At 47.1% G+C, this 14,707-nt stretch overlaps 1 protein-coding gene across 1 annotated transcript in view, besides 2 other annotated features; it reads right to left on the bottom strand.

The window, feature by feature from the left end:
* Positions 1-14,707, bottom strand: part of MTA3 (metastasis associated 1 family member 3) — a 262,837-nt gene that overhangs the window by 229,424 nt on the left and 18,706 nt on the right. The gene's annotated exons all lie outside the window — the stretch shown is intronic.
* Positions 1,494-1,994: an enhancer, noted in NCBI's record as "H3K27ac-H3K4me1 hESC enhancer chr2:42752669-42753169 (GRCh37/hg19 assembly coordinates)". NCBI's record gives its function as "activates a minimal SCP1, AML or CMV promoter by ChIP-STARR-seq in naive H9 embryonic stem cells {active_cell/tissue: H9 hESC(naive)}" and the evidence as "EXISTENCE:reporter gene assay evidence [ECO:0000049][PMID:30033119]".
* Positions 1,995-2,495: an enhancer, noted in NCBI's record as "H3K27ac-H3K4me1 hESC enhancer chr2:42752168-42752668 (GRCh37/hg19 assembly coordinates)". NCBI's record gives its function as "activates a minimal SCP1, AML or CMV promoter by ChIP-STARR-seq in naive H9 embryonic stem cells {active_cell/tissue: H9 hESC(naive)}" and the evidence as "EXISTENCE:reporter gene assay evidence [ECO:0000049][PMID:30033119]".

Genomic DNA, 14,707 nt, shown 5'->3' with positions numbered 1-14,707 from the left:
ACAGATTTTGTTGATTTTGTTCATTGCTATTGTGAACAAAAGTTCTCTGAAAAGGAATCTAGAGGAAAAAAGAGTATTGCAGTGGACAGTTTGCAAACCTCAGAGATGCGGCCTTCACTATAAAAGAAGGTGTGGTCCAAAGAACAAAGGGAGGAGTTGGGTTTTATAACAAAAGTTTGGGCCCCATTTCCTGATCAGGTCCATTTATGCAAATGAAGGATTCAAACTTGCTTAGTTCCAATTGGGTGATGCAGCTGAGTGTTGATTGGTCAACACAGCTGAGCCTTGATTTGTTGATACAGCTGAGGCCTGATTGGTTGGTTCAGTTGAGCTTTGATTGATTGGTTCAGGTGAGCTCCAAAAGTCCCAAAGTTAAAGAAGTAGGGGTTTTCTGGAAACTCGGAGTACATTTGTAACCTCTAGTCCGCAAATGGCTGCTTGGCTCTTTTTTTTTTTTTTTTTTTTTTTTTGAGACAGAGTCTTGCTTTGTTATCAGGCTGGAGTGCAGTGGCGGGATCTCAGCTCACTGCAACCTCTCCCTCCTGGGTTCAAGTGATTCTCCTGCCTCAGCTTCTCGAGTAGCTGGGACTACAGGCAAGCATCACCACACTCAGCTAATTTTTGTTATTTTAGTAGAGACGGGGTTTCACCATGTTGGTCAGAATGGTCTCGATCTCTTGACCTCATGATCTGCCCGCCTTGGCCTCCTAAAGTGCTGGGATTACAGGCGTGAGCCACTGTACCCAGCCTGGCTCTATTTGAAATTTATGTCATTAGCCCATTGAATCCATCTTGAAGGGTAGCCTCTTTCAGGTTCACTTTTATTCACCCTGTTGTTTCAGATACTAGAACGGTGCCTAACCACATACCAATTTCTCAGTAAATGTTGTTGAATAGAAGGAAGGACAAATAAATCATGGTCCCAAAATAGGGGATCATAGAGGTAAATAATGTCACAAGCCGTCTGCCAGGGTGCCCAGAGATGACGGTGGATGTTGACATCCGAGTGCCTGTGATGTATCTGGGTTCACACTGAGTGTTGGTAGGGCCAATAGACATTCCAAGGAATGTACTGATCATCTTGGCAGGACCCTGGGGGCTTCTGGAGAAGTGTGGGACACAGGGAGAGCCAGGAATCTTGGCCTCACCCAGAAGGCCAATCGGCCTCGGTGGCATGCGCCTGTAATCCCAGTTACCCAGGAGGCTGAGATGGGAGTCTTGCTTGAGCACAGGAGTTTGAGACCAGCTTGGGCAACGTAGTGAGACCCTGTCTCAAAAACAAAAACTAAACAAAACCCAGCAGGGCAAACAACCAGCTATAAGGGAAGGCAGCCACCCCTGTACCGGCCTTTCTCTGGGGCTTTATCTGGGTGATGGGACTCTTGGGATTAGAGCATTGTTACTGTTGGTTCTGGGCAATTATTTCTAGGTCAAGGTGGGGTTACCTGGCTGTGGGTTTCTTCAGGTGGCATTTGAAATTCCTGGGTACTCTGGATTCCAAGGAAGGCATTAACGAGGGGGTTCTTTCTCTCTGGCAAAGGATAGGTTGAAACTGAAGTGCTAGGGCAGGCGCGGTGGCTCATGCCTGTAATCCTAGCACTTGGGGAGGCTGAGGCAGGTGGATTGCCTGAGCTCAGGAGTTTGAGACCAGCTTGGGCAACGAGGTGAAACCCCGTCTCTACCGAAAAATACAAAAAATTAGCCAGGCATGGTGGCGTGCACCTGTGGTCCCAGCTTCTTGAGAGGCTGAGGTGGGAGGATCATTTGAGCCTCGGAGGCAGAGGTTACAGTGAGCCGAGATTGTGCCACTGTGCTCCTGCCTGGATGAGGGAGCGAGACCTCATCTACGAAAGAAAGAAAGAAAGAAGGAAAAAAAGAAAGAAAGAAAGAAAGAAAGTAGGAAGGAAGGAAGGAAGGAAAGGAAGGAAGGAAAGGAAGGAAGGGGAAGGAAGGAAAGGAAGGAAGTAAGGGGAAGGAATGAAGGAAGGGGAAGGAAGGAAGGGAAGAAAGGAAGGGGAAGGAAGGAAGGAAGGAAGGAAGGAAGGAATTGATCCTAGCACTTTGGGAGGCTGAGACGGGCAGATTGCCTGAGCTCAGGAGTGCAAGACCAACCTGGGCAACACGGTGAAATCCCATCTCTACTAAAATACAAAAAATCAGCCAGGCATGGTGGTAAGTGCCTGTAATCCCAGCTACTCAGGAGGCTGAGGCACGAGAATTGCTTGAACCTGAGAGGTGGAGGTTGCAGGGAGCTGAGATCGTGCCACTGCACCCCAGCCTGGGCAACAAAGCAAAACCCCAAACTCAAAATTCAAAAAAAAAAAAGAAGAAGAAGAAAAAGAAATTGAAGTGCTGAAAAACAAACTTGCTGTACCTACCACATCTCAACTCTCAAGAGACCCACAGGTGGGGGAGGGGGGAGGGATAGCATTAGGAGATATACCTAACGCTAAAGGATGAGTTAATGGGTGCAGCACACCAACATGGCACATGTATACATATGTAACAAACCAGCACGTTGTGCACATGTACCCTAAAACTTAAAGTATAAAAAAAAAAAAAAAAGAGACCCACAGGCGCTTCACCTTCGGTAATTCAACTGTGTGGTCATGGAGTATTCGGTCCCCGCCAGGATGCCTTCAGGCCTGGAAGGTGGCCTTACTGCAGGTGTCTCTTTTTTTCTTTTTTTTTTTTTGGATGCTAGATAGGTTTTTGTTCTCTTCCACCAGTGTCAAAATACAAAGTTTTAGGGCCCTAGTGTTTTCAGGTTCTGAGACAAAGAAGCATCACCCCAAGATTGGGAGCATCTGTCTTTGGCATGAATCTTGGGCCAGGGTATGTGAAGAGCAATACAGGGATGAAGATGGTCTTGCACTTCCCCCAAATAATGGTTGCAGCTGGCGGGGCGCGGTGGCTCACACCTGTAATCCCAGCACTTTGGGAGGCCGAGATGGGCAGATCACGAGGTCAGGAGATTGAGACCATCCTGGCTAACATGGTGAAACCCCATCTCTACTAAAAAATACAAAAAAAAAAAAAAAAAAAAAAAACACAACTAGCCAGGCGTGGTGGCGGGCAATTGTAGTCCCAGCTACTCGAGAGGCTGAGGCAGGAGAATGGCGTGAACCCAGGAGGCGGAGCTTGCAGCAAGCCCAGATCAGGCCACGGCCCTTCAGCCCAGGCAACAGGGTGAGACTCCATTTAAAAAAAAAAAAAAATAATAATAATGGTTGCAACCATTGAAGCTGAACATATGCTCTTTTTCAGGAGGTCAATCAAAGGGAGTGGTGTGGGAAAGACAGGAATTTTACCAGGGGAAGAGTGTACAAAGCCCAGGAACTACTTTGTGTCTCCAATGGCTTGAGGAGTTTCCAATCTAGAACCATGGTTCCCTTTGTTAGGGTCAGCATAGCCTGGCTGAAGATGTTTCTTAGGATGGCCCCCCCAGGTCATGGCAACACATTGTCTCTGTTTCTGGAGAGGCAATCATATTAGTTGTTGGGGAGAGAGGGTTTGTTAAGTTACTGGTTTTTTTTCTTTTTAAAAAATATTCTATTCCAGTCCGTGGCTTGCCTTTTTTATTTATTTATTTACTTATTTATTTTAGAAACAGGGTCTGGCTCTTTCACCCAGGTTGGAGTGCAATGGTGCGATCATGGCTCACTGCAGCCTTGACTTCCCGGCTCAAGTGATCCTCCCACCTCAGCATCCCAAGTAGCTGGGGCTACAGGCATGCACCACCACACCCAGCTATTTGTTTTGTTTTTGTTTTGTTAGAGAAGAGGTTTCGCCACATTGCCCAAACTGGTCTGAAACTCCTGGGCTCAAGTGATCCTACTGCCTCGGCCTCTCAAAGTGCTGGGGTTACAAGCATGCGCCACTGCACCCAGCCATAAGTTACTGTTTCAAAGAGAATTTCAGAATGCGGTGGCTTAAAGAACAAACGCTGATTTCCGTCTCACACAGCAACTGAGATGAGCGTCTAGGTCGGCAGGCAGCTCTGCTCTTGAAGTCACTGAGGGGTCAGGTTTCTTCCTCTTGTAGCTCTTTCTTCTTCATCTTCCTGGTTGAGGCTGGATCGTTGCCTTATTCAGGCTCCAGCAGCAGGGAAGAGACCCTGACGAGAACACGCCGTTCAATTAAGGGCCTGGTCTCACTGCCGCTCTCTTGCCAATCATGAGGACTTAGTACTTGGCCATACCTTACCCAAAGATTGCCCAGGACATGCAGCCTTGCTATAACTGCTTCCTTACTCAGGAAGAAAGGGAGAGTGGATTTGGGGGGCATCTAGCTATCCAACCCCATGGTGGCAGGGAAGTCAACTGACATTCAGAACTATGAGGCCAAGTTCAAGGAATATACATTGAACTAAAAGCCCCTTTAGGATAAACACTGATGAAAAGTTCATCTTTGGGCTGGGTGTGATGGCCCACGCCTGTATTCTAGCACTCTGGGAGGCCTGAGATGGGAGGATCTCTTGAGCCCAGGAGTTCAAGACCAAACTGGGCAACACAGTGAGACCCTGTTTCTACAAAGAAAAAAAAAATTAGCTGGGTGTGGTGACGAGTGCCTGTGGTCCCAGCTACTTGGGAGGCTGAGACAGGAAGATCACTAGAGCCCAGGAGGTTGCAGCTGCAATGGAGCTGTGATCCTGCCACTGCACTCTAGCCTACCTGACAAAGTAAGACCCTGTCTCAAAAAAAAAAAAAAAAAAAAGACCACATGTTGATCTCCCTTCTTCCTTCCCTCCCTCCTTCCTTCCTTCCTTTTTTTCCCATCTTTCTGAGACAGGGTCTCTCTCTCCCAAGCTGGATCCTCCTGTCTCAGCCTCTGGAATAGCTGGGACTACAGGTACACACCACCATACTCAACTAATTTTTATTTTTTTGTGTAGAGATGGGGTCTCCCTGTGATGCCCAGGATGGTCTAGAATTCCTGGGCTCAAGCAATTCTCCCGTTTTAGCCTCCCAAAGTGCTGAGATTATAGGCGTGAGCCACCGCACTGGGTCCCTCCAGCCTTTCCCTAAGCCAGAAGCGTGTGTCCCCCAATTCTGTCAAGCAGTTTGCCTAGAGATATCATTCCAGAGGTGCTGATCATATTCCTTCCTGAAAGTGGGTGCAAGGAACGAAATTATTCCCAAGCAAGCCTCATAGCAAGAGCCACAGTTCACCTGCCCCTACCCTCCCAGGGATGCCACAGTGCTCTGATTGTACCCTTGACACAGGTCCTAGACACAGATAGCTCACATTCTACAGCAAGTAACCCCTGAGGATCCTCTTTGCATATCAAAGTCAGGGACGGAGGGTGGTTGTAACTACCTCACTCTCCAAGTCTCCCCAGTTTGCTTTAGGACTAGGAAGACTACTGAGGCTGCCTCTATCACACAACTGGAAAGGTTAGGAAATTATGTATTTATTTGGACTTGGACTTGTACAGCTTGGCTTGCTGCCTTAGAAAGATTCAGGTGTGGCCAGGCACAGTGGCTCATGCCTATAATCCCAGCACTTTGGGAGGCCGAGGCAGGTGGATCACCTGAGGTCAGGAGTTCAAGACCACCCTGGCCAACATGGTGAAACCCCATCTCTACAAAAATACAAAAATTAGCTGGACATGATGGCAGGTGCCTGTAATCCCGGCTACTCAGGAGTCTGAGGCAGAAGAATCACTTGAACCGGGGAGGCGGAAGCTGCAGTGAGCTAAGACTGTGCCATTGCACTCCAGCCTGGGCAACAGAGTGAGACTCTGTCTCAAAAAAAAAAAAAAAAAAAAAGAGAGAAAGATTCAGGGGCAGTTATCTGGACACTATCCAGCCTAGATTAGCCAGTCTGACAAAGGGCTTCTCAAACTGGCTTGAATTAATGAGAGGAAAGGGCTCTGCCTATTTTGAGAGCCACCCTTCCTTTCTGTGTGCCCCGGGTCCATGGCCCTGTGTAATAATATGGAAATCCATGTGTAACATTGTACTACAACTAGTTTGAGTTGCCCATGAAGGTGGTACAAGGGTTTAGGAGGTATTAGTTATCTATTGTTATGTGATAAATTACCCCAAAACTTAATGACTTAAGACAACAATTACTGTCTTAGTTTCTATGGTTAGGAATCTGGGTGCAGCTTAGCTGTTTGCCCCTGGCTCAGGGTCTCTCACAAGGCTGCAATCATCACTAGGCCGATGGGGTGGGGTCTGCTTCCAAGTTCACTCACGTGGCTGTTGGCAGGCCTCAGGTCCACTCTGATTGCTGGCCAGAGATGTCAGTTCCTTTCTGCGTAGGCCTCTCTAAAAAGCAGCTCACAACATGGCAGCTGGCTCCCCTCAGAGTGAGCCAAGAAGAGAGCAACAGATATGTCCAAGAAAGAGGCCACAGGCTTTTGTAACCAAATCTTGGAAGTGACATCCCATCCCTTTTGCTGTATTTTATTCATTAGAAGTGAGCCACTAGGTCCAATCCCCACTCAAGGGGAGGTGATTACACAAGAAGTCACCTTACAGGCTGCCTACCACAGGAAGCCCCAGAGATGTGATGCCAACAAGGAGTTTGCCATTTGTTAGTTCTAAGAGATGCCGGGAGAGAGGAAAGAGATATTTATCAAAGTCGAGAACTTGAGGTCAGCAGTAGGGAGCTCCACTGGGGTGGAGAGGCTAGGTGGAAGAGGAACCAGGCTGGGCGTGGTGGCTCACACCTGTAATCCCAGCACTTTGGGAAGACAAGGCAGGAGAATCGCTTGAGGCTAGGAGTTCGAGACCAGCCCGGGCAACATAGGGAGACCCTGTCTCTACAAAAAATACAAAAATTAGCCCGGTGTGGTGGTGCACACCTGTAGTCCTAGCTACTTGGGACGTTGAGGTGGGAGGATCACCTGAACCCAGCAGGTTCATGATCAGGCCACTGGACTCCAGCCTGGACAACATAGTGAGACCCTATCTCAAAAAGAAAAAAAAAAGGAGGAACAAAAGAATGAGTGAGAGCCAATGATGGATGACCTGAGATGGGAAAAGGTATAAATGATTCATAAGGGTCACGAAGGAAGCAATCCTGGGAAGCCTGCTCATTACACCCCACTGCTCTCTTATGCTTATGGGGGCAGCATCTTGAAGCATGAAGCTGGGCACAACTGAAGCAGGTGGATGGTGGTACAGTTCAACAAGACAGGAAATAAAGAGGGTCATTGGTTTGCTCTGGGACAAGTTGATTTTGTGGTGCCTGTGGAATGTTCAGGTGGAGAGGTCCTCTGGACAATTGGAAAAGAACGGGAGATCTAAAGAGGGCCTACAGGTGCAGGGTTTGGAACACAAACACTTAGACTGTAGCACAGAGGCTGGAGCAGAGCATTAAGGGAGACTGAGGCACACTCAGTTCCATAGGGCAACTACTGCTGAAAATGGCTCTAGGACATTTACCATTCTTAAGACTTGTCATGACCCTGCTACCCTAAATTGTGTTTAAGTTTTCCTTGAACTCAATCACTTTATTTATTTTTTTTGAGACAAGGTCTGGCTCTTATCACCCAGGCTGGAGTACAGCAGCGTGATCTCAACTCACTGCAACCTCCACCTCCTATGCGCAAGCCATCCTCCCACCTCAGTCTCCTGAGTAGCTGGGATTACAGGCATTCAACACCATGCCTGGCAAATTGTTTACGTGAGACAGGGTTTCACCATGTTGCCCAGGATGGTCTTGAACTCCTGACCTCAGGAGTTCACCTGCCTCGGCCTCCCAAAGTGCTGGGATTACAAGTGTGAGCCACCGTAACCGGCCCTGGTTAATTTTTAAAAGAATTTTTATTTGTACAGATGAAGGTATCGTTATGTTGCCCAGGCTGGTCTCAAATTCCTGGGCTCAAGTGATCCTCAGCCTCTGAGTAGCTGGGACTAAGATGCGTTCCACCATGTCTGGCTCTTTCCTTGTTTTTTTTTTTTTGAGACAGAGTCTCACTCTGTCACCCAGGCTGGAGTGCAGTGGTGCCATCTGGGCTCAATGCAACCTCTGCCTCCCAGGTTCAAGGGATTCTCCTGCTTCAGTTTCCCAAGTAGTTGGGACTACAGGCATGTGCCATCACACCCGGCTACTTTTTGTATTTTTGGTAGAGAGGGGGTTTCACCATGTTGGCCAGGCTGGTCTTGAACTCCTGACCTCAGGTGATCTGCCCGCCTAAGCCTCTCAAAGTGCTGGGATCACAGTTGTGAGCCACTGCGCCTGGCTCTTTCCTTGTTTTTTTAATAACCTTGACAGTTTTGAGGAGTACTGATCAAGTATTTTGTAGAATGTCCCTCTATTGGGATTTGTCTGATGTTTTTCTCATAATCAGATTGGGTTGTGAGATTTTAGGGGGAAGACCACAGAGGCAAAGTGCCATTCTCATCACATCATATCAAGGGGTACATGTGATCAACATGACTGATTATTGGTGATGGTGACCTTGATCAACTGGCTGGGGTAGTTTCCCAGGTTTCTCCACTGTAGTTACTCTTCCCCCACCTTTCCATACTATATTCGTGTGTGTGTGTGTGTGTGTGTGTGTGTGTGTGTGTGTGTGTGTGTGTGTGTGTGTGTGTGTTTTGAGAAAGGGTCTCACTCTGTCACTTAGGCTAGAGTGCAGTGACTCAGTCATGGCTCACTGTAGCTTCAACCTCGAAGGCTCAGGTGATCCTCCCACCTCAGCCTCCCAAGTAGCTGGGGCGACAGGCTCGCCCCACCATGCCTGGCTAATTTTTAAATTATTTGTAGGGATGAGGTCTCCCTATGTTGCCCAGGTTGGTCTTGAACTCCTGGGCTCCTGCCTCAGCCTCCCAAAGTGTTGGGATTACAGGAGTAAGCCACCACACCTGGCCTATACTATATTCTTTGGAAGGAAGTCATTATGAGCAATCTACACTTCAGGAGTATGGAGTTATGATCAACCTCCTTCAGGGTGGAATAGCTACATCAATGATTTGGAATTATTCTGCATGGAGATTTGTCTTTTCTTCCCATTTATTTATTTAGTCTTTTTCTATAAGTATAGACTCCTGGATATTTATTTTATACTTTGGCTTACAACGCAATACTACTTTGTTATTCAAATTGCTCTAGCTTTGGCCATGGGAAGCTCTTTCGGTTGGTTCTTCTGTGGCTTTGACATTTCCCAATCATTGTTTTATTTGTTTGTCTGTTTGAGCATTTCCTTACTTTCAGGCACTATAAGACACTCTAAGTTCATCTTGTATATTTCCTATTCTAGTCCTAGACTTAGTTTATTTTTCCAAGGAGCCCTAGTTCCTTTTATTGGAGAATTGTATTAAAGCCAAGATATGGGTGCTTAGTGCATGCAACTCAACTGTATTTTCTTTTATTTTCTTTTTTTTTGAGACCGAGTTTCACTCTGTCACCCAGGCTGGAGTGCAATGGTGCGATCTCGGCTCATTGCAACCTCTGCCTCCCGGGTTCAAGCGATTCTCCTGCCTCAGCCTCCCGAGTAGCTGGGAGGTGCCTGCCACCACATCTTGCTAATTTTTTGTATTTTAGTAGAGGAGGGGTTTCACCGTGTTGGTCAGGCTGGTCTTGAACTCCTGACCTCAGGTGATCTGCCCACTTTGGCCTCCCAAAGTGCTCGGATTACAGGCGTGAGCCACCACGCCCAGCCTCTACTGTATTTTCTTTTCTTCTTTTTTTTTTTTTTTTTGAGACAGAGTCTCACTGGAGTGCAGTGGCATGATCTCAGCTCACTGCAACCTCTGACTCCTGGGTTCAAGCAATTCTCCTGCCTCAGTCTCCCGGAGTAGCTGGGATTACAGGCTCCCGCCACCACACCTGGCTAATTTGTGTATTTTTAGTAGAGACAGGGTTTCCCCATGTTGGCCAAGCTGGTCTCGAACTCTTGACCTCAGGTGATCACCTTCCTTCGCCTCCCAAAGCGTTAGGATATTACAGGCATGAGCCACCATGCCTGGCCTAATTTTTTTTTTTTTTTTTTGAGATGGAATTTTGCTCTTGTCCCCAAGGCTGGAGTGCAATGGCATGATCTCAGCTCACTGCAACCTCCACCTCCCGGATTGAAGCAATTCTCCTGCCTCAGCCTCCTGAGTAGCTGGGATTACAGGCATGTGCCACCACATCCAGCTAACTTTTTGTATTTTTAGTAGAGATGAGGTTTCACCATGTTGGCCATGCCGGTCTTGACCTCCTGACCTCAGGTGATGCACCTGCCTCGGCCTCCCAAAGTGCTGGGATTAGGGGTGTGAGCCACTGCACCCAGCCTAATTATTTATTATTTATTTTTATTTTTTGAGGTGGAATTTCACTCTTGTCCCCAAGGCTGGAGTGCAGTGGCATGATGTCGGCTCACTGCAACCGCCGCCTCCCGTGTTCAAGCGATTCTCCTGCCTTAGCCTCCTGAGTAGCTGGAATTACAGGCATGCACCACCACACCCGGTTTATTTTTGTATTTTTAGTAGAGATGGGGTTTCCCCATGTTGGTCAGGCTGGTCTCAAACTCCTCACCTCAGGTGATCTGCCCGCCTCGGCCTCCCAAAGTGCTGGGTTTACAGGCGTGAGCCACCACACCGGGCCAAATTTTTTATTTTTTATAGAGACAGGGTCTCGCTATGTTGCCCAGGCTGGTCTTGAACTCCTGGGCTCAAGTATTCCTCCCTTCATGGCCTCTCAAAGTGCTGTGACGACAGGCATGAGCAGCCACAGCTGGCAGATACTGCATTTTCATGCTTCATTATTTCCTGACCTAAGGTAAAGTGCACTATACTTTTGCACACGCCTACATTTGTTTCTATTTTGGTTTCCTAATTTCTTTGCATACTTTAATATTCATTGACTTCTTTGTTTTCTCTATATATCTAAAGCTGCTTAAACAGGCTTTGGCTGAACTGTGTGCAGGGCTTGTCACCACTACATTCCTCAATAGTTCCAAGTCTAGACCTAAGTTCCCGCCGGTGAGCCATTTCCTTCTTTCCTAGTGCAGGATATTGCCATTTTGTACAATAAAACTATAACAGTTGCCTTGGGTTTATAAGCCTGTGAACATTAGAATTCTGTAAAACCATTGTTGGGGAAGGAGAAAAGGAGTAACCTGGACACCTATGGAAGTGAGATGGGTTGGGACCTTTAGCAGAAAAGCTTTGAGTTTCATAAAGATGTATCCATTTTCTGCGCTTAATAAAAAGCCTAGATCCAAGGAAAACGTTGCAGTATTTCTGGTATTTTTTATAATTTATCTCTACTCTTCCCAACCTAAAATCCAAGTGCGGTCAAAAATCCCTTTCCCTTTACTTTAATATTGACTGAGCTTTTACAGAAACAGCTTTTAAAATAAACACTGCGCCAGGAGCGGTGGCTCATGCCTGATCCCAGCACTTTGGGAGGCTGAGGCGGGCAGATCATGAGGTCAGGAAATCAAGACCATCCTGGAGCTAACACGGTGAAACCCTGTCTCTACTAAAAATACAAAAAAATCAGCTGGGCGTGGTGGCGGGTGCCTGTAATCCCAGCTACTTGGGAGGCTGAGGCAGGAGAAAAATATAAAAAATTAGCCGGGCATGGTGGCAGGCGCCTGTAGTCCAAGCTACTCAGGAGGCTGAAGCAGGAGAATGGCGTGAACCCGGGAGGCAGAGCTGGCAGTGAGCCGAGATCGCACCACTGCACTCCAGCCTGGGAATGACAGAGCGAGACTCTTGTCTCAAAAAAAAAAAAAATACATAAAATAAAACAAAATAAAATAAAATAAACACTGAAACGACTGGGCACGGTGGTTCACGCCTGTAATCCAGCACTTTGGGAGGCCGAGGTGGGCGAATCACGAGGTCGGGAGTTCGAGACCAGCCTGACCAACATGGTGAAACCCTGTCTCTACTAAAAATACAAAAATTAGCCGAGCGAGGTGGTGCACACCTGTAATCCCAGCTACTCAGAAGGCTGAGGCAGGAGAATCGCTTGAACCTAGGAGGCAGAGGTTGTAGTGAGCCAAGATCATACCACTGCACTCTAGCCTGGGAGAGAGAGCGAGAATCCATCTCAAAAAAATAAAAAATAAAATAAAATAAAATACACAGAAGCTGCATGCAGCAGCACATGCCTATAATCTCAGCTACTCGGGAAGTTGAGGTGGGAGGATTGTTTGAGTCCAGGAGTTCAAGACTAGCTTGGACAACATAGATGCCATCTCAAAAAATAAAATAGGCTGGGCACACTGGCTCACACCTGTATTCCCAGCACTTTGGGAGGCTGAGGTGGGCAGATCACCTGATGTCAGGAGTTTGAGACCAGCCTGGCCAACAGGGTGAAACCCTGTCTCTACTAAAAATACAAAAATTAGCCAGGTGTGGTGGTGGGCACCTGTAATCCCAGCTACTCAGGAGGCTGAGGCAGGAGAATTGCTTGAACCCGGGAGGCAGAGCTGGCAGTGAGCCGAGATCGCACCACTGCACTCCAGCCTGGGCACAACAGAGCGAGACTCTGTCTCAAAAAATTAAAATAAAATAAGATAAAATAAAATAAAATAAAATAAACACAGGCATACATATCCAAAGAAAAATATAAAAGTTTAGGCCGGTCATAGTGGGTCACGCCTGTAATCCCAGCGCTTTGGGAGGTCAAGGCAGGACAATCGCTTGAGGCTAGGAGTTTGATACAAGCCTGGGCAACACAGTGGCAACCTCATCTCTATAAAAAATAAAAACAAATTAACCAGGCATGGTGGTGCATGCCTGTAGTCCCAGCTACTCTGGAGGCTGAGGCGGGAGGATCATTTGATCCCATAAGTATGAGGATGCAGTGATTTAAAATTGCACTGCTGTACTCCAGCCTGGACAACAGTGAGACCCTGTCTCAAAAAAAAAAAAAAAAAAAAAAAAAGGGGCTGGGCGCTCATGCCTGTAATCCCAGCACTTTGGGAGGAGCCCGAGGTGGGCAGATCGCTTGAGGTCAAGAGTTTGAGAGCAGCTTGGCCAACATGGTGAAACCCCATCTGTATTAAAAATACAAAAATTAGCTGGATGTGGTGGTGGGCGCCTGTAATCCCAGCCACTCAGGAGGCTGAGGCAGGATAATTGCTTGAATCCTGGAGGTGGAGGTTGTAGTGAGCCTCAAGACAGTGCCCCTGCACTCCAGCCTGGGTGATGAAGTGAGACTCTATCTCAAAACAAACAAACAAAAAACCACATACACACAAAAAGAAAGAAAAATATTTTAAAAGCATATGTATTTTTTACAAGCATCATATAAATAGTGAGCTAACAAAGCACAATTTTCTTCTCCTTAGATAACTCTTATTTGACCAGTTTTCATATTGCAGACTTGGGATTCTTTTCTCGTTGTTTTTTTTTGAGACGGAGTCTCATTCCGTCGCCCAGCTTGGAGTGCAGTGGCGCGATCTCGACTCACTCCAACTTCTGCCTCCCAGGTTCAAGTGATTCTCCTGCCTCAGCCTCCCAAGTAGGTGGGACCACAGGCACGCACCAGCATGCTCAGCTAATTTTACATTTTTAGTAAAGATGGGGTTTCACTATGTTGGCCAGGCTGGTCTTGAACTCCTGACCTCAGGTGATCCATTCACCTTGGCCTCCCAGAGTGCTAGGATTACAGGCATGAGCCACCGTGCCTGGCCTAGACTTGGGATTCTTTGAGCTCTCATGTCTGTCTCAATTTGAGGTAGTGGAGGGAGGCCAGCATTGCTGGATTTCATGGGAGTCTGAAATCCTTCCAGGGCTTTCCTAGGTGTAAGCCCGTTTGCCCCTCAGGCCAGCCTGGGAGGCGTGGCAGTCCTGCACTTCCCTGTCCCTTTAAGTTCTCCCTCATTCCCGGCTCACTGAGTCCAGCACTCTGGGCTTCAGGACAAGTGGGTCTAGTTTTCCAAATGTCCCTCCTGGTGTTTGTCTCTCTCTGTCCTGGAAGTTCTACCCTTTTCTCTGTCCTATGTGGCTGGCCAAATACTACTTCTGAGGGTCTTGATAAGCCTGGTTATACCATTCCATGGAGCTGGGTCTCTCGCTAGGTTTAGATGTGGCCTCACTATTGGCCAGGAGGCTTTAACACGGAGTCTGTTCCTTCTTCACTTGGAGTCTATCCCTTTTCCTGGGTGAAGTCATTGCCCTTTCTTCCCAGCACCTCCTAGTGGTCCTCTCTGGAAGTGTTTTGTTTTGTTTAAGTTCCAAGGATATTTGTCAAACTGAAAAGACTGACCTACCCACCCCAGTGATTGCTGAATCCTTTCTCAGTCCCAACCTGAACAGGGACCAGTATCCCAAGTAATGCTCATTTCATTCCCCTCACACTCCCTCCAACCACAATAGGTTTTGCAGAATAAATCACTATAGTTTAATATCCAAAAAGTAACTTAAACATGTAACAAAGGGCTTGCCAACACAAAGATGAAATGGGGTTTCCCCTGCATGGGTAACCAGAAACACTAGCCTCTCGTATGCCCAGTTGGTTATTTAGCAAGTTAGCAAGTAAAGGCAGAGTGAACATTTTTATAGGGGATGCCATGGGGACTGATTTAAATTAAGTGGCAAAATTATCTGTAGACCTTGCATTTTCACAGTCTGGGAGAATTGATGGATGGTTTGATTGGTGCCATTAAAATTGGAGTTTTCTTAAGGGTCCTGTAAGTAGAGGATGTCTCAGAATGTTTATATAGAATATAAATGTCATTCTTGAGTTGGTGACTAGGGTGAAAGCACAAAGAACTATAAATTGAAAGTCTTAACTAATGCCGAGTCAA

Source organism: Homo sapiens, chromosome 2 (genome assembly GCF_000001405.40).
Source record: "Homo sapiens chromosome 2, GRCh38.p14 Primary Assembly".
Taxonomy (NCBI): domain Eukaryota; kingdom Metazoa; phylum Chordata; class Mammalia; order Primates; family Hominidae; genus Homo; species Homo sapiens.
This window is presented reverse-complemented; position numbering and strand designations above follow the sequence as displayed.